The 19,939-nt window shown below is 43.0% G+C and overlaps 1 protein-coding gene across 4 annotated transcripts in view, besides 1 other annotated feature; it reads left to right on the top strand.

Annotated features, from left to right (window-relative positions):
• The window catches only part of KIF13A (kinesin family member 13A), a 228,510-nt gene that overhangs the window by 158,343 nt on the left and 50,228 nt on the right, over positions 1–19,939 (top strand). For all 4 annotated transcript variants that reach the window (NM_001105568.4, NM_001105567.3, NM_001105566.3 and 1 more), the window contains exons 14-17: positions 923–1,053; positions 3,169–3,255; positions 3,359–3,525; positions 12,060–12,273. In NM_001105568.4, the coding sequence (NP_001099038.1) occupies positions 923–1,053; positions 3,169–3,255; positions 3,359–3,525; positions 12,060–12,273 (599 nt within the window). The remainder of the gene's footprint in view (positions 1–922; positions 1,054–3,168; positions 3,256–3,358; positions 3,526–12,059; positions 12,274–19,939) is intronic.
• Positions 13,621–13,915: an enhancer, noted in NCBI's record as "tiled region #4440; K562 Activating DNase matched - State 5:Enh". NCBI's record gives its function as "activates a minimal TATA promoter and a strong SV40 promoter by Sharpr-MPRA in K562 cells {active_cell/tissue: K562}" and the evidence as "EXISTENCE:reporter gene assay evidence [ECO:0000049][PMID:27701403]".

The raw sequence follows: 19,939 nt of genomic DNA, 5'->3' as shown, positions 1-19,939 counted from the left end.
TATTATAGCCCTGAGGGCTAAGGGTTGTATGTTTATGTTTGTAGTTTAAAATGTTCTCAGTCTCACGCCAGTAATCCCAGAACTTTGGGAGACCAAGGCGGGCGGATCACTTGAGGCCAGGAGTTCAAGACCAGGCTGGCGAACATGGTGAAACCCCCATCTGTACTAAAAATAAAAATTAGCCAGACGTGGTGGCGCATACCTGTAATCCCAACTACTCAGGAGGCTGAGGCAAGAGAATGGCTTGAACCCAGGAGGCAGAGGTTGCAATGAGCTGAGATTGCACCACTGCACTCCAGCCTGGGTGACAGAGTGAGACACCATGTCAAAAAAAAAAAAATCACACGTTTGTACATGGTATGACCCACAGGCATTAATACTGTATGTAATATCAGTATTAGAAATTCAAAATTTTTAGCATTTTCAAAGTTGAATATTTTAAAATATTACTGTCAATGAAACTGCTTTTTAATGGTTCTTAAATTTATGTAACTGTTTTCAAAACACTTTCACTGTTAACTCAGATGATCCTAAAAGAAATCTAAATAGGTGAAATAGATAATATTATTCTGGTTTTGCCAACAAAGAAACTGAGGCTCAGAGAGTGAAATGGCTTCCCCGTGGTCAAGTCACAATTGAAACTCAAAGTATTCTACTGTCAAGTCCAATTTCCTGTGTTAAAAACAATAACTAATCATTGTTGATTGGGGATTTTTTTTGGTAGTGTTTAAACATTTTTTTTTAATTTGGTGTATTAAGGGTAAGCGTTTTACTTTTAATGCTTAAGATATTTAACATCTCTGGCAGGATTCGTTTAATATTTTTGTGCATATGCTGCTGCGTTATTCAAATTGATTGTGATACATTTTTGCTGAGTTACTCATAAATGTGGGTTTTTCTTTCCTTAATAATCTTTTACTAGGATCACACCAGGGTGGGTGCAGATACCTCTCAAGATATCCAGCTTTTTGGCATAGGAATTCAGCCTCAGCACTGTGAGATTGACATTGCATCTGATGGAGACGTCACTCTCACTCCAAAAGAAAATGCAAGGTAAGAAAAGTAAATGGTGACTTCACGTGTCTTGTGTGCCTTATTTTCAGAAGGAGAAGGCTGCCTCTTTCTGTTTGCTTTCAGCTATATTAAAGTTAAGGATACATGGGGGTCCTCAGGGGGCCCTTGCTTTCTGATTGTAGAGAGTGATTACTGTGAAGGAGTGACTATTTTTGTATGCGAGTTCTAGTTCCACTTAATCCATAACTCTGAGCTTTAGAACCCTGTAAAGATCAGGAGTCCAATTATGAGAGTAAGTGAAAAGAGTAACTTATTGGAAAATGAAAACTCAAAGTGACATTTCTTTTCTTTCTTCAAACTTTACCTGACAGTCCTTTGGCAAATTAACCTTCAATTAACTATTTAGTTATCTTGTCCACCTCCAGTGTTTTGTTTTGTTTTTAAATACCAGAAAATTGGCTAGGCGGGGTGGCTCACACCTGTAATCCCAGCACTTTAGGAGGCTGAGGCAGGAGTATTGCTTGAGCCCAGGAGTTCAAGACTAACCTGGGCAGTATAGTGAGACACCGTTGCTACAGAAAATAAATAAGAAAATTAGCCGGGCATGGTGTTCAATTCCTCTAGTCCCAGCTACTTACAAGGCTGAGGTGGGAGGATCACTGAAGCTCAAGAGGTCGAGGCTACAGTGAGCCATGGTCATAGCACTGCACTGTAGCCTAGCCTAGGTTACAGAGCGAGACCCTGTCTCAAAAAAAAAAAAAAATGTAGAGAGAATAATATAATGAAACCCCATGGACCCATCCTCCAGTTTTAAAAATGAGCATCTCATAGACAGTTTTGTTATTTATATGCCTTCCATATCTCCTCCTCCTTCCTAAAGCAGGCCAGGAACAGTGGCTCACACCTGTAATCCCAGCACTTTGGGAGGCCAAGGGGGGCATATTGCCTGAGTCCAGGAGTTCAAGACCAGCCTGAGCAACATGGCGAAACCCCCTACTCTACAAAAAAATACGAAAAATGAGCTGGTATAGTGGTGCACACCTGTAGTCTCTGCTACTCGGGAGGCTGAGGTGGGAGGATCACTTGAGCCCACGAGGTTGAGGCTGTAGTGAGTCGTAGTTGCTCCATTGCACTCCAGCCTGGACAACCAGAGTAAGACCATGTCTCAAAAAGAAAAAAAATTATTTTATTTATTTATTTTTTTTTTAATTTATTTTGAGACAGAGTCTCACTCTGTTGCCCGGGCTGGAGTACAGTGGCAAGATCTCGGCTCACTGCAACCTCTGCCTTCCAGGTTCAAGCAAACCTCCTGCCTCGCCTCCCAAGTAGCTGGGATTACAGGCGCCCACCACCATGCCCAGAAAAAAAAATTATTTTAAAGTAGATTCCAGATTTTATAACATTGTATCTATAAATATCTCACTATGTCTCTCTAAAAGATGAAGATTCTTAAATATAGTTTCAATATCATCATACCTAAAATAATTAATAATAATTCGTTACTAATCTTCATATAGCCAGTCAGTGTTCAGATTTCCCCAGTTGTCTCATCAGTTTTCTTTTTCAGTTGTTTCTTGAAATTAGGATCCAGATAAGATCCTACCATTGTTTTATAGTATTCCTCTTAGATCTCTTTTAACAAATGGGTTTCCTCTTCCTCTCTTCTGTGTGTGTGTGTGTCTGTTTATCCCTGTCTCTCTCTGCCTCTCTCTCTTCTTCCTTGCATTTTATTTGTTGAAGTCACCTCATTGTTGATCCTAGAGGTTCCCACAGTCAGGATTTTGCTCACTGCATCCCATGGCATCATTTCACATCCTCCATTGTTCTCTGTATTTCCTAAATTGGCATTTAAATGTGGAAGCTTGATCAGGTTCAGCTCAAATTTTGACAAGAATAGCCATGGGTGGTGCTTTCTGTCTCCATCAGGAGTGCATCATGTTAGGTTGTCATTCTCTGAGGGGTGTTGGCAGCCCTTGGTCCTCATGGCTTAGATTGTGTGTTTTCATAGTGGTTACACATTCTGCTCTTCCTTCTTTAAGCGTTAGTTGGAATGCATTTATTAAGAGAAAGCTCCCCTAGTTATCTCTTTGGCTACCAGGACAAGGTCTTGTGCTCCTTCCCATTTACCTGGTATTTTCCCTCGTGTTCTCCCAGGTCCTGTGTGAACGGCACCCTTGTGTGCAGTACCACCCAGCTGTGGCATGGTGACCGAATCCTATGGGGAAATAATCACTTTTTTAGGTAACATCTTTGTGTTCTGTAATATATTTTCGTATACATTTTTTCTGTTATCTATTTAAGTGTAAAACAAGTTGATTTTCTCTAATGGTGAAAAACCCCACAGAATAAACTTACCTAAGAGGAAACGTCGAGATTGGTTGAAAGACTTTGAAAAAGAAACGGGCCCGCCAGAGCATGACCTGGATGCAGCCAGTGAGGCTTCCTCTGAACCAGACTATAACTATGAATTTGCACAGATGGAAGTTATCATGAAAACCCTGAATAGTAATGGTAAGACCCTCACTCTGTGTTCCAGCGCCTTGGGCATTTCCTCACCTCACACCATTCAGTGAGGGATAAGCATGCATCAGGTGTCATTCCGCATTCCACATTTTAAACACATAAAACTGCTCATTTCTTTAAAAGGCCATCAGTGAATAACTAATGACAAGATGTGGGGGAGATGGTCTTCTCCCTCAGTTACAATGAGGATATGGATGGTCCCGTTTTTGAGACCTCTTATTCCCAAGCGAATTGTGGTGACATTTCCACGGGCCTAGAGTACTGAATGATTTTGACAAAATTCCTTACCAAATTTCTCATCATCGAGCCTGTCATATCTGAATCCTTGAGAATGTGAAAATCCCCAACAGAATATAAATTCAGGAATTTCAAATATAATCTATGGAAAGATAAAAGTCACAGCATTTTAGTATAAACTCAATTGGAAATTTTACCCCAAAGATATTTATTTAATAAGCCCAGATCACTTTTACAAAAATGATAGTGAAAATGAAATGCTTTATAGCCTCTTTATTTGACTTATACCAAGTTTCACATCTAAAAGTCCGTGTTCCTTTACCTTTTCTTTCTTATTCTGTGCCTATACACACCTGCCTGCATTAAATAAAATAGACACCAAATTCTTTCCTTTTTTGCTGTTTTATAAATCTGCCCTTTCTTTTCCCATCTCCCAGTGTCTTAATTGCTAGATTTGATGACTGGGACTTAGAAGCCAGAAGCAATGTTCACCTGTTACCAACCACAAGATGACATTTCTGGGACTAGAATGATTTTATGAGGATAAAACTGAGGCTGTTTAGGGGTACCTGAGAAAGGTAGTTTGTAGGCTCAGTCCAACCTCTCCTTCTCATTCATCTGATCTTGGGGCACCTGAGGTTCCCTAACTTGAACCAGGGTGGACCTCCAGGGCCCTGAGGGCCCTAAGACAGGCAGCCTCTACCTGACAGGGGGCTTGAAGAGCATTTTGGTGTTTTGTTTTTTTTTTTTTTTTTTTTGAGACGGAGTCTCTCTCTGTCGCCCAGGCTGGAGTGCAGTGGCACGATCTCGGTTCACTGCAAGCTCCACCTCCCAGGTTCACGCCGTTCTCCTGCCTCAGCCTCCCAAGTAGCTGGGACCACAGGCGCCCGTGACCACACCTGGCTAATTTTTTTGTATTTTTAGTAGAGACGGGGTTTCACCGTGTTAAGGCAGGCTGGTCTCAATCTCCCGACCTCGTGATCCGCCTGTCTTGGCCTCCCAAAGTGCTGGGATTACAGGCATGAGCCACCACGCCCAGCCGAGCATTTTGTTTTTCACAGTTGAGCTCTTCCCTTAAACATTGGCTTTCTCACTTTACTCTTTGAGCCTATCTGGGAAGAATTTGAGCATAGAGAATTGTGGCATATGTGCTGCCAAGGCAAGCACATGGTGAGAGAATTATCAGATCTCTGGCATATCAAATTGGGGATTCTGTTGCAGGATTAAAGCTTTTGGCCTTTTCATTGATTTCTGTTTATGAAGTTTTTGCCTAGGGGGCCTCTTTTTTTAATTATAAAAATGAAATGTAGGGCCAGGTGTGGTGGCTCATGCCTGTAAATCGCAGCACTTTGGGAGGCCCAGGTGGGCAGATCACCTGAGGTCAGGAGTTTGAGACTAGCCTGACCAACATGGCAAAACCCCATATCTCCAAAAAATACAAAAGTTAGCCAGGCATGGTGGCACATGGCTGTAATCCTAGCTACTCGGAAGGCTGAGGCAGGAGAATTGCTTGAACCCAGGAGGCAGAGGTTGAGCCAAGATCGCATCACTGCACTCCAGCCTGGGCGACAGAATGAGACTCCTTATCAAAAAAAAAAAAAGAAATTTAAATTAAACGCCAGGCATGGTGGCTCACATCTGTAATCCCAGCACTTTGGGAGGCCGAGACGGGAAGATAGCTTGAGGCCAGGATTTGGAGACCAGCCTGGGCAACATAGTGAAACTCCATCTCTACTAAAAATACAGAAATTAGCCAGGCATGGTGGTTTGCACCTGTAATCCCAGCACTTTGGGAGGCTGAGGCAGGAAGATTACTTGAGGCCGGGAGTTCGAGACCAGCCTGGCTAACGTGGTGAAACCCTGTCTCTACTAAAAATACAAAAATTAGCCAGGTGTGGTGGTGAATGCCTGAAATCCTAGTTACTTGGGAGGCCGGAGCACGAGAATCACTTGAACCTGAGAGGCGGAGGTTGCAGTGAGCCAAGATCACACGACTACACTCCAGCCTGAGCAACAGAGCGAGAGTCTGTTTCAAAAAAAGAAAGGAAAGAAAGGAAGGAAGGAAAAAGAGAGGGAGGAAGGCAGGGAGGGGGAAGTGGGGGGCGGGGAGAGAGAGAGAGAGAGAAAGACAGCCAGCCAGCCAGACTGTGAAAAACAAGTGTAATGTATTTATATAAAGAGTATAGGGGCCAGGCACGGTGGCTAATGCCTGTAATCCCAGCACTTTGGGAGGATGAGGCAGGTGGCTCACCTGCAAGACCAGCCTGGCCAACATGGTGAAACCCCGTCTTTACTAAAAATTAAAAAATAAAAATTTAGCCAGGCATGGTGGCAGGTGCCTGTAATCCCAGCTACCCAGGAAGCTGAGGCAGGAGAATCGCTTGAACCCGGGAGGTGGAGGTTGCAGTGATCCGAGATGGTGCCATTGCACTCCAGCCTGGGCAATAAGAGTGAAACTCTGTCTCCAAAAAAAAAAAAAAAGTATAGAACCATGAAGAAAAAAGTAGGAAAAAACAACTTTATGAGAAAGTTTGGCAATTTCTGTCTTTAAACAGTAAGAGTAGAGTGTTAAGATTAGCCACTGGGGCTTTTGGCCCTGCAGTGCAGGGTGGACCATAGCTAGGAGTCAAGATTCATTCCACTCTGTTACTTCCCCACCAATTGGGAGGAATCCCAGAGACATTTCGAAGTGACGTTCAGACATCAGAATCACATTAATGGGTTATTTAACAACCTAACTGAGCAACAAGTCTGCTGTGAGTGATCTTTTGGAAGCCTGAGTGGATATAGGGTGTTCAGGAGGATGTAGACTCCAAACTCCAGGTGGAGGAACTCCCATTGGAGACAGCTCATTGCTTCAGCGGACGTTACAGAATCTAGACATCTCTAGTCGCTAACTCTGCAGAGTTTACAGGTGGTATCAGTTTAATCATTTAGCCCTCCGAGATCACAGGTTCCTTATTTGAATCAATTACTACCTTCTTATATATAAATTAACTCCTTCAATAATCAATGAGTATTCAGTAAGCATTTGTTAATTCCTCTGATCCTCTCAGCCAAACCAATTGGAGTCATCAGTGGCCTGGTGCACAGTGTTAACATGAATTATTCTTTTGTATCCCAGATCAGGCCTTGCTCTCCAGTGTTGATTTTGTCCATATTGAAGTCATATTTATGGCTGGGTGCAGTGGCTCATGCTTGTAATCCCAGCACTTTGGGAGGCTGAGGTGGACGGATCACTTGAGGTCAGGAGTTCGAGACCACCCTAGCCAACATGGTGAATCCCAGTCTGTCTTAAAAATACAAAAATTTAGCCAGGTGTAGTGATGCGTGCCTGTAGTCTCAGCTATTCAGGAGGCTGAGACAGGAGCACCACCTGAACCTGGGAGGTGGAGGCCGCAGTTAGAGCTGAGATCGCACCATTGCACTTCAACCTGGGTGACAGAGCAAGACTTCATCACAAAAAAAAAAAAAAGAAGTTATGTTTCCCCCTACCCCATCCTTTACCCAGTTCCAGTGGAGCTTCCCTTTGGGGCATACACACAGTCTCTGATGCAAGTGCTGATGTGCCGGTGGCTGGACGGTGTTCACTGTGATTCCCCTCTACTGCTAGGTGGCTTCCCGATAATAAGCCTGTCTGCCTGGTGGTCATCCCCTTGGTGGTCTTATTTGAAGATCCTCTTTCCTCTCATGTGGTTTCAGACGAAGCTCCTCCACAAACACTGGGATAAAGGTTTTTAACTGATTGGCATTGGCATGAGGGAGCTTGGCTGGTTTTTAGCAGTGCTGCTGATTGATGCTCATGCTCCATGCTTTGGCAAAAATCTAACTAACATGATTGGGAAGAAGCTGGAGTTTTCTGGCTGATGAAGGTGTTCTGTATTCTTCATTGAGGAATGTTCCTTTTCAATTATGAACACCCCACCCCCAACACACACACACACACACACACACACACACACACACCATGTCCCAATTCCATTTGCCTCCCAGATTTTGGTTAAACTCTAACAGCAGCTATTCTGTATGTGTGCAACAGCACTGAAAAGTATTATTGGTATTATTACTGCTGTTATCGATGGCTTTGTTGCTGTTGACAGCAGAGCAGTTCAGGTCAGTAGTACTTCCAGATATATATTCACCTACAGTATCCCAGTAATAGGTAAGATTAATGTATTTTTTTAGTTTCTAGAGTAAATACTGATCTAAAATCCAATTCATTTGAATTAAAAGTAAAAAGAAACCTAGTATTTGTGGACAATAATGCCTTCTTCCCAGGGGTTTGAAATAGGAATCAGACAAAATAAGAATCATCTCTTTTTTCAATGTCAATGGCAGCTCTAAAGAAAGTGCAACTTTGCCAAGCGCAATGGCTCTCTCCTGTAATCCCAGCACTTTGGGAAGCCAAAGTGGGAGGATTGCTTGAGGCCAGGAGTTCGAGACCAGCCTGGGCAACATAGTGAGCCTTCATCTCTACAAAACATTTTAAAAATAAAGAACAATTAAGGGGCTGACAAAGGGTCATGCGTAGTGCCAGTTTGTTCCATCTGGGATCAAATAGTTCTTTTTTTCTCCAAAGATCTGTTTCCCCTCAATTCAGTTTTTTAGACATTTTGGTGTTAATTAATTCTAATTCTCTTTCTTATATGAATACCCTGCTACCAGCACCACTACCACCGCCATTTTTTCTTTTCCATTCTTGGGATGATGGGTCGGTTTGAGCTCATTGCATAGTTACCTACTAAGTAAAGAAGAAACTAATGAGGACGAGAAAGTGCTATGCCCAAAGTAAACGTGGTCCTTTCTTTTTTCCTAAAATACTTACTTCTTTGAGATCTTGGCTTTGGGCACCTGGCTCACTATTTAAAACAGTTCATTCAAGAGAAGGAAAATGATAGGAAAAATAAACCTGTGGACAATCTCTTGATATTTGGTTGGTATTTTGAGAAAGGGCTGAATAATCTTTGGCTTCCGTCCTGGGCCACATCATAGAGTCAGATCGACTTGCTGATTTGGATGGTCTGTTTGAAAATATGCTGTGTGTGGGGTAAAGACTTGAAACTGGTTAATTGATTTGAAAAGAAAATGTCATCAAAGTTGTCCGTGAGAAAGGTGTTTGCAGACTAATGTTAGGGATCAGAGGCGAAACAAAACCCCAGCCCCTAGACCTCCACCGTAGCTGTGTGTGGTGAGGGCGGATCTGGGAGTTCGGGAATGGGGCTTACAAGACTCTACTGTGGGAGTCTCAGAGGAAGGACGGATTGAGTTGCTCTGTCTTCTGTATTTGCACTTCAATTTGTGGCCACTCATCATGCCTAGTGAGTAGTGGTAGTGCTGTGTCATGACAGCTGCTGGTGCAGTTTCAAATAGCCTCACTCACGTGGCCTGTGTCAGCATGGAACCTTGGGGTGAGATCCCCTCTGCCCCAGTCATTTGGGATCATGTGTGTTTCTGCACTACTGACTAACAATGGAAATGTGGATTATATATCTTATTCAGTATCTCGTAGCAAAAACCCTATAATGCAGTTTTATAAAACGGTGTGTTTTCCAGCTTCTCTGGAAAAGATTTATAAACACTGTTAGGACAGTTGGGCTCCATCTAAATATAAATGGATGGCAAGTACTGTAGCACCCTGTCCTTTCTTTTTTAAACCCAGAGCCTATATACTGTTTGAGAAATATGTGTATATATTTTTTTAATTCTGAAAGAACTTTTCTTCTCTAGAGCTTACATTTAAAATGTCTTCAGATGCCCTCAAAAAAATTTTACCATATTTCTCATATTTTTTTAGAAGTTATAGGAGTTTGTCAGAAGTTCTGATGCTTAGGAATACATAGGTTGTTATTATATAGATAATATTTTACCCACCCAGGATCTATGTTTGCATAAGATTTTTTGTTTGTTTTTTGGTTTGGGTTTTTTCCCCCAGTTTATATTCTTTTCTTTCTTTTTTTGAGATGGAGTCTCACTCTGTTGCCCAGGCTGGAGTGCAGTGGCACGATCTCAGCTCACTACAACCTCCGCCTCTGGGTTCAAGCAATTCTCCTGCCTCAGCCTCCCAAGTAGCTGGGACTACAGGCACATGCCACCACGCCTGACTAGTTTTTGTGTTTTTAGTAGAGATAGGGTCTCATCACGTTGGCCAGGCAGATCTTGAACTCCTGACCTCAAGTGATCGCCCACCTCAGCTTCCCGAAATGCTGGGATTACAGGCGTGAGCCACCACGCCTGGCCCCCAGTTTATTTTCCATCAGCTTTTTAAGTGATATATTTTAGGTCATGAGGTCAGGAGATCGAGACCATCCTGGCTAACACGGTGAAACCCCATCTCTACTAAAAATACAAAAAATTAGCCTGGCGTGGTGGTGGGCACCTGTAGTCCCAGCTACTGGGGAGGCCGAGGCAGGAGAATGGCTTGAACCTGGGAGGTGGAGCTTGCAGTGAGCCGAGATCGCGCCACTGCACTCCAGCCCGGGCAACAGAGCGAAACTCCGTCTCAAAAAAAAAAAAAAAAAAAGTGATATATTTTAGGAACTCATGTCAGGACTCTACAAAGAAAACTATTTTGCTTCTTTGAAAACATGCTGAATTTTAGAATTTTATATCAATAAAACAGTATCTTTTTCAAAAGTATCACTCTTTCACAGAATACTAATTGTAAGCAAAACATTGGGGGTAAGAGTACCACATCAGTTTATTACCAAGTGAATGTCCTACCCCAGCCAATTAGTTAGTTATCTGAGTTAAAAACCTGACCCTGTCACTTTGTAGCTACGTGTTGTAGATCAGCTGTTTAGCCTTTTTGAGCCCCCGTTTCCTCATTTTTAAAATCGGGATGATATCCACACTTAGGCTTGTTGCAAAGCTTTCATGAAGTGATGCATGCAAAGCAGATAGAACCTCTACTTGCGATGTAGCCAGGAGCTAGTAGAGTTATTGTTGCCATTGTGGTTGTCATTTTTATTAAAACAACTCATCTATACTGAGCTTTTCTTGTGATTTTAAAAAAATTGATTCTTTTTGTTTTGAATTATTTAACTTTATTTTTTGAAGCTAACATGCTATCTTTTTCTCTTAATGCTAATATAGAAAATTATTACAATTTACATGTGTATTTTACAAGTTGTTAGGGTATCTTGGAAAAACCAGTCAATAGCAATCATCAGGTAATATAAAAATTCCTCCTGAGTCACTTTAATTTTCAGCTTCTTTTCTGGAAATTAAACTGAGTGCCAATGTGTGGGAATACAGCATAAATGGCACTGAATAGCAGGCAAATGTGTGAATGTACAAGGAGAAAATCATGTCCCAGGCTGGTCTGAGAATGCATCTCTCAGTCCAATATAGTTCTGGGAAATATTAACTGTGATGATGATTTTCTTGTTCTACTATTGAGATTGTCTAACATTCTCCTTCCCTACACTGTCCTCACTTAGTGATGTCAGTAACTTTCTCCTTTTGTACATGTGACCCAGAGCCTTGATCTTTCTCCACAGTATCCAGCTTATTGGTCATTACCAAGTTGATATCCTGCCCAGCCCATTAGGATTTACCTATACCACAACCATCATGGTAGCTCATTGGAGCAAGATCTGTTAGTACATCTATACCTTTTCACCCATGTGCATGGTGGTGAGCTCTGTGCCTGTACACGTGAGATGTTAGAAACAGGTTTTTATTATTTTTGCAAGTGAATTGTCCTTTTAGATACTAGTCTGAGAAATTGCCAGACCATATCCTTAAGCAATATTTTCAAACATGTGCTGTGATCTGTAAGTTTCCTCCCACTTAGAGAAATTCAATAGTAATAGGATTTGTGGTGAAAGTCATAAATCTTTGTCGTATACCAAAACTGATATTAAATGGACATAGAAATGAATTACCATAAAGAAAGATCAAATCTTATGTGCTTCTGTGTTTGGAATTGTCCTAGATTTCGTGAAGTTTTTCTTCCCAGTGGATAAGATCACATTCCTCTCTCTTCCCCCATCTGCTGGTAGTAGGTTAATGATTTATCTAAACGTTAGGATGAGCTCATCAAATTGAAGAAAGTAACGTAGAGGATGTGGAGAATGTATACTTATAAAGGGCATTTATCTGCAATGTCTGTAACAAGGAATTTGAGAGGATTTCCCTGATGTGGCCCCTCAGGCCTCTCACAAAAAGCGTATTGACTGGCTAGATTCCTTGCTAGAGGAAGCCTCCCACAGGCTGCAGTGCCTGGCATGAATGCTTGTTTTAGCCGCCACTAAGACACCTTGCCTTGTCTCTTGGCTCACTAGACCCAGTTCAAAATGTGGTTCAGGTCCTGGAGAAACAATACCTAGAAGAAAAGAGAAGTGCCCTAGAGGAGCAGCGGCTCATGTATGAGCGGGAACTGGAGCAACTCCGCCAGCAGCTCTCCCCCGACAGGCAGCCACAGAGTAGCGGCCCTGACCGCCTGGCCTACAGCAGCCAGACAGCGCAGCAGAAGGTGACCCAGTGGGCAGAAGAGAGGTAAGAACTGCAGCGGGGGCAGCCCAGAGTCAAGGCCCCAAGGCCGTGGGTCTTTGAGGGAGGGGTTTTTGAGACATGTCAGGGACAAACCTAGCAACAAGAGAACTCTTAATCCCATACGTGATATTGCCAATTAGCTTTTCCTTTCACAAATATTGTCCACCCTAAGTATGTTTACTATAATGTTAGCTGTTAAAGACCCCTCCTACCCCCAAACCATTTACCCTTCAATAAAAATGGTGCCAAGTTGCAAGGGTTAGACAGGTATGTATTGAAATTTAGAAAGTTTGAATAATTTCTTTAACACAAAAGCATTTTTTTCTTATTTCTCATACTTTTGAATCTATTTAAATACAACTTCAGTGCTGATTAATCTACTAAATGTGAAAGTTTAAGATTTATAGCTGGGTGCAGTGGCTCACACCTGTAATCCTAGCACTTGGGGAGGCTGAGGCGGGAGGATCACTTAAGCCCAGGAGTTTGAATCCAGCCCAGGCAACATAGTGAGACCTTGTCTCTACAAAAAGTAAAAATTACCCAGGCGTGGTGGTGCATGCCTATAAGGTCACTGGGAGGATCGCTTGAGCCCAGGAGTTTAAGACCAGCCTGAGCAACATAACGAGACCTTGTCTCTACAAAAAATAAAAAATTAGCCAGGCATGGTAGCTGGTGCCTATAATCCCAGCTACTTGGGAGGCTTAGGAGGGAGGGTCACTTGAGCCCCAGAGATCAAGGCTTTAGTGAGCTGCGATCATGCCACCACACTCCAGCCTGGGTGACAGGAAGAACCTGACCTGACTCAGGCCAGGTGCGGTGGCTCAGGCCTGTAATCCCAGCACTTTGGGAGGCCAAGGCAGCGGATCGCCTGAGGTCAGGAGTTCCAGACCAGCCTGGCCAACATGGTGAAACCCTGTCTCTACTAAAAATACAGAAAAAAAAGAAAAAATAGCAGCGCATGGTGGCAGGCGCCTGTAATCCCAGCTACTTGGGAGGCTGAGGCAGGAGAATCGCTTGAACCCAGGAGGCAATGGTTACAGTAAGCCAAGATCGCGCCATTGCACTCCAGCCTGGGTGACAAGAGGGAGACTTTGTCTCAAAAAAAAAAAAAAAAAGAACCTGACTAAAAGAAAAGATTTATGACTTTAAAATACTTATATCAGAACTCTCAAAGGAGAAAGTGGTAGAGTGTGGGTGGCAAGCCACCCAGGTGCCAAGGCAAGAGACCAAGGGCACAAGCTGTTCCAGTATAATAAAGCTAATATATAGAATAAGAATAGTTATACTAGAAATAGATTATAGATATGATTATATATGAATATCATTAATCATTAGTTTGTAGCATTACTCTTTATTCCAATATTATAATAATCTTTGTTCTACAGTTATCACCTGGGAAAAACCAGCCATACAGAGATAGGAGCTGAAGGGACACAGTGAGAAGTGACCAGAAGACAAGTGTAAGCCCTCTGTTACTCCCAAACAGGGCCACTAGAGGGCTCCCTGGTCTAGTGGTAAGGCCAGTGCCTGAGAAGGCGCCCATTACCTAGCGGGCCTTGGTCTAGCAGTAGCGTCAGTGCCTGGGGAAGGCACTAGTTACTTAGCAGACTGGGAAAGGGAGTCTCCCTTTTCCCGGGGGAGTTAGAGAAGACTCTGCTCCACCACCTCTTGTGGAAGGCCTGACATGAGTCAGGCCCGCCCGCAGCCATCCAGAGGCCTGTCTCCCTGTGATGCTGTGCTTCAGTGGTCACTCTCCTGGTCTGCTTTCATGTTCCACCCTGTACGCCTGGCTCTGCCTTCTCGATAGCAGTAACAGGATTAGCGAAAGTACTTAAAGTCTTTGAAATACATAGAAGAAATAATGGTGTAAGCTGTCCTCTCTCTGTCTCCGCCTTGGCTGCCAAACAGGGAAGGGACCCTTGTCCAGTGGACACATGACTTGCGTGACCTTCCTGTCATTGGTGATGGCTCACACTCTTTCCCCTGCCCCCTTTTCTTGTATCCAATAAATAACAGTGCAGCCAGGCATTCGGGGCCACTACCGGTCTCTGCGTCTAGGTGGTAGTGGTCCCCCGGGCCCAGCTGTCTTTTCTTCTATCTCTTTGTCTTGTGTCTTTATTTCTATGATCTCTCATCTCCACACACGAGGAGAAAAATCCACAGACCCAGTGGGGCTGGACCCTACAGTGGAGGAAATGGTAATAATAATAATCACCACTACCATAATAAGGACAATAGGCTATTGAAGACTTCAGTTGTGTTCTTGCCATAGTCCAGTCTTTTATTTAACATCCCAGCAGCAGTATGCCATAGGAACTATTATCCCTGTCTTATAGGTCAGGCAATCAGTTTAAATATCCTGCCTTAATCAACCATCTAGGAAGTGAAAAAAACAGAGTTTGAACCCAGTTTTCTCTGCAGTCTCCTAATAACACCTGTGTTATAATAATTAATAGTACTAATAAAAGCAACACCTGGCTGGGCGCGGTGGCTCACGCCTGTAATCCCAGCACTTTGGGAGGCCGAGGCGGGTGGATCATGAGGTCAGGAGTTCAAGACCAGCCTGGCCAAGATGGTGAAACCCCGTCTGTACTAAAAATACAAAAATAAGTCAGGTGCGGTCGTGGGCACCTATAATCCCAGCTACTCGGGAGGTTGAGGCAGAAGAATTGCTTGAACCCGGGAGGCAGAGGTTGCAGTGATCTGAGATCACGCCACTGCACTCTAGCCTGGGTGACAGAGCAAGACTGTCTCAAAAAAAAAAAAAAAAAAAGCCGGGCACTGTAGCTCATGCCTGTAATCCCAGCACTTTGGGAGGCCAAGGCGGGCAGATCACGAGGTCAGGAGATCAAGACCATCCTGGCTAACAAGGTGAAACCCCATCTCTACTAAAAATACAAAAATTAGCCGGGCGTGGTGGCGGGCGCCTGTAGTCCCAGCTACTCGGGGGACTGAGGCAGGAGAATGGCGTGAACCTGGGAGGCGGAGCTTGCAGTGAGCTGAGATCATGCCACTGCACTCCAGCCTGGGCAACAGAGCAAGACTCCATCTCAAAAAAAAAAAAAAAAAAAAAAGCAGCACCTTACATCTATAGACCATTTATACCATGTACCAGGTACTAATTGCTGTTCCTGTATTCCTCTAATCCTCACAACTGCTACTGCCTTTACACATAAGGAAACTCAGGCTGAGAGGTTAAATGATTTACCCAGATGGTCAGTTAGCTGGTAAATTGGGCGATGGGATCAGAGCCGTGGCATTCTGACTGTAGAGCTCTTCCTGTAACTCACACACACACTGCAGCTCTCACTAGCAATGAGATGCAGAACACAGGCCACACCCGGGGAAGGTGACTCCCAAGAGGAGAAAAGGGAACCCTGCCCTGCAGCGCAAGGCTCGCAACAGTCACGCACTTGTTAATGTTAAATGAAGAGAAGAGAGTCAATTATATTTTCCCCAGGAGCTACCTGCTCATCTGTCTGGATACTGAAATAGGAAGATTTATCATACTTATATTACTCTTTTTTCTGAGATGGAGTTTCACTCTTCTTGCCCAGGCTAGAGTGCAAGGCTGGAGTGCAATGGCATGATATCCGCTCACTGCAACCTCCATCTCCCAGGTTCAAGCGATTCTCCTACCTCTGCCTCCCAAGTAGCTGGGATTACAAGTGCCCACCACAATACCTGGCTAATTTTTGTATTTTTAGTAGAGATGAGGTTTCACCATGTTGGCCAGGCTGGTCTCGAACCCCTGACCTCAGGTGATCCGCCCGCCTCAGCCTCCCAAAGTGTTGGGATTATAAGCGTGAGCCACTGCACCAGATGTTATGTTACTTTTTATACTTTATTGTACCTGGAAGAAACAGACAAAAGTTATCAGATGGTCCTTTTTCTGAAGAGCTGCCTTTTACACATTTACTATGAGCTGGTGGCTTCACGCCAAGCAACAGCTAGCTGTTGAGGATAACTGATATAATTGTACCCATTGATATCCTTTCTATTTACTAAACAATATAAAAGATAAAAGCAAAAGTGTCTTCAAAAGAAGACATACATGTGGCCAACAAAGCATATTAAGAAGTGTTCATTATCACCAATGACTAGGGAAATGCAAATCAAAACCACAATGAGATACCATCTCACACCAGTCAGAATGGCTATTATTAAAAAGTCAAAAAATAACAGATTCTGGCAAAGTTGCGAAGAAAAGGGAACCCTTATACACTGTTGGTGAGAGTGTAAATTAATTCAATCATTGTGGAAAGCAATGCGGCAATTTTTTAAAGAGCTAAAAACAGAACTATCATTTCACCCAGCCATCTCACTATTGGGTATGTACCCAAAGAAATATAAGTTGTTCTACCATAAAGACACATGCACATGTATATTCATTGCAGTGCTATTCACAATAGGAAAGACATGGAATCAACCTAAATGTCCAACGATAGACTGGATAAAGAAAACGTGGTACATGTACACCATGGAATACTATGCAGCCATGAAAAACAACAAGATCGTGTCCTTTGCAGGAACATGGATGGAACTGGCGGCCATCATTCTTAGAAAACGAATGCAGGAACAGAACACCAGATACCGCGTGTTCTCACTAATAAGTGAGAGCTAAATCATGGGAACCGATGGACAGAAAGGGGAACAACAGACACTGGGGCCTGTGGGAGGAGGAGGGAGAGGCTCAGGAAAAAAAAACAAAAACCTGCCAAGTACTATGCTTACTACCCGGGTAATGAAATAATCCATACATCAAACCCCTTAGTCATGAGTTGACCTGTATAACAAACCTGTGCATGTACCCCTGAACCTAAAATAAGTCAAAATATTTAAATTTTAAAAAACAAAAGTATCTGATAAAGAAGGTGGTTTGCTTTTAACCATAGTGTTTTTCAGTTAAATAGTTAAAAATATTTTTTTGATTTCCCTTAATTCCAGATTGATTTTCTTTGGGGCTTAAATTCTTAAAAGAAAGGAAAAGTGTAGAAGTCGGGTACAGTGGCACATGCCTATAGTCTCAGCTACTCCAGAGGCTGAGGCAGGAGGATCACCTGCGCCCAGGAGTTTCAAGCTGTAGTGCACTGTGATCATGCCTCTGAATAGCCACTGCACTGCAGCCTGGGCAACACAGGGAGACCCTATCTCCAAGAAAAAGAGAGAGAGAGAAGGAAAGAAAGAAAAAGGGAGGGAGAGAAGGAAGGAAGGAAGGAAGAAAAAAAAAGATGAGATATTTTGGGAATGTCATTCAAAGACAAGAATAGTTGCATTATTGATTTTGTCAGGTTTCACTGGATAAAAGTAAGATGTCATTAATTGTATGTGGTTATATAAGAAGCTGGAACTCTTACCTAAGTAAATTGTTGATGGGTTGTGAAATAATGAAGGACTCTTACCTACATGAATGTTGATGGGTTGAGAATCAAGTAAATTTAAACGCTGGTGAGAATTACAAAGAAAGCCACAGATGTCGTTTATTCTCTTTGTACACTTAGAATGTAGTATGAAACAAGATATAAATTTGTGGAAAAATTAAGTCATAGAAAATTAAAGAACAGTTTCATTCAACAATAGGAAACGTTAGGATTATATATTAATAGTTATTTGTTTGTTTTCTATTTCCTACCCTGGAAAATGAGTTGCAAGGGACAGGGAATCCTTTGAAGTATCCCTAGTGCCTAGAATGATGTGGTCACCTGGTAGGTATTTAGTAAATATTGTATGCATTGATTGTGTGAATGTATTGAAGTGAAAAGCATGTAATCGCTAAGTGGACAGACTGCACAGTAAGCTTGTTGGTTGTTCAGTGGAAGATGAGACTTAATGAAGCTGAGTCTTCTACAGAGGTTTTCAGGGAGAAGGATTGATTTCAAGTGCATTTGAGAGGTAGAGTTTGACCAGCAGAGAGAAAGTAAGAAGGACATTTTGGGTGGGCAGATTGGCATGAACAGATGAGAAGCAATGGAAGAGAATTAAGATGTATTTGGGAGACTGCAAAAGAACTGTTTCGTGTAGTCTAGAACAGGGGTCCCCAATCCCCAGACCACAAACTGGTACGGGTCCGTGGCCTGTTAGGAACCAGGCTGCACAGCAGGAGGTGAATAGTGGGCCAGCAAGCGAAGCTTCATCTGTGTCTACAGCTGCTCCCCATCACTTGCATTACTGCCTGAGCTCCACCTCCTGTCAGATCAGCAGTGGCATTAGATTCTCACAGGAGCACAAACCCTATTATGAACTGTACATGCGAGAGATCTAGGTTGCATGTTCCTTATAAGAGTCTGAAGCCTGATGATCTATCACTGTCTACCAACACCCCCAGATGGAACTGTCTAATTGTAGGAAAACAAGCTCAGGGCTCCCACTGATTCTACATTATGGTGAGCTGTATCATTATTTCATTGTCTATTACAATATAATAATAGAAATAAAGTGCACAATAAATGTAATGCACTTGAGTCATCCCAAAACTCTCCCTTTCCCCAACCTCGGTCCATGGAAAAGTTGTCTTCCATGTAACTAGTCCCTGGTGCCAAAAAGGTTGGGGACCACTGGTGTAGAAGGTGATTTATGGAAGAGTAGGGAAAATTAAGTTCAAAAACCATTAGGCAGGGGTTGTGGGAGGGTACAGATTTGGAGTTTGGGATTTATTTTATGGGAGAAGAGGAGCCCTGCAAGGCCTTGAGCCGAGGAACGGCCTGAGGAAGGCAGGGCTTGATAAGGACTGTCTTGCAGTGGAGCAAGAAGAGCCTGGGTACTGTGAGATTATTGAGAAGGGTGTAAGGGCCCTGAGCCAGGGATATGATAAAACACAGAGAGACTTAGGAGATGCTTCAAAGGAAGAATCAATAGGCTTATTTTTTGGACATTGTAGAAAAGAGAAGAGACTGAGCCGACTGAACAAATCTAAGCGTGGGTGACTGGAAAAATGGTATCACCTTTTTTGTTTTTTTTTAATAGAGATGAGGTCTTGCTATGTTGCCCAGGCTGGTCTTGAACTCCTGGCCTCAAGTGATCCTCCCACCTCGGCTTCCCAAAGTGTTGGGATTATAGCCATGAGCCACTGCCCCCAGCTGGTAATATGGTTTTAAGAAACTGTTTTGTTTACCTTAGCATCCGCACAGCATGCGTCTTCTGTCATTTCTAAGGTGACGAGTGAGGAGTAGAGATTTAGGTGCTTTGAGTTCATTATTTTTCTATGATGTAAGCATTTCCTGCGGCGTATAAATGGTGGAAAAGAGAAGTTATATATGACACAGAGCAATTGCTAGATGGAGTGACTTTAGAACCCAGATTCAAATGTGAAATCCAGAAGCACTCTTTTCTTTATTCAGTGGGTCTTTTTTGAATATCCTACGATGGGTCATGCACTTGGCCAGGAGCTAGGGTAGTGCAAGCAAAAAAAGACATGGTCCCTGCCTTGGGGCAACCTAACAGCCTAGTAGGAGACAGATATTAAACAAATAATTATACGAGTAAAAATGAAAAGTTCTAACTATGGCAAATGCTATGGAGGCTAAAGGCATGGGGCTGAGAGAACATATAAGAGGGTTTTGACCAATCTGGGATATTAGAGAAGCTTTTTATCAGCAAGTAATGTTGTACAGAGAGTTGAAACGAAGAATTCCTGCTACTGCAGAACTACCTTACCATTGCATGCCTTTTG

This window comes from Homo sapiens, chromosome 6, assembly GCF_000001405.40.
Source record: "Homo sapiens chromosome 6, GRCh38.p14 Primary Assembly".
Lineage (NCBI taxonomy): Eukaryota > Metazoa > Chordata > Mammalia > Primates > Hominidae > Homo > Homo sapiens.
Note: the sequence above shows the minus strand (reverse complement) of the source record. Positions and strands in the feature narration are given on the sequence as shown.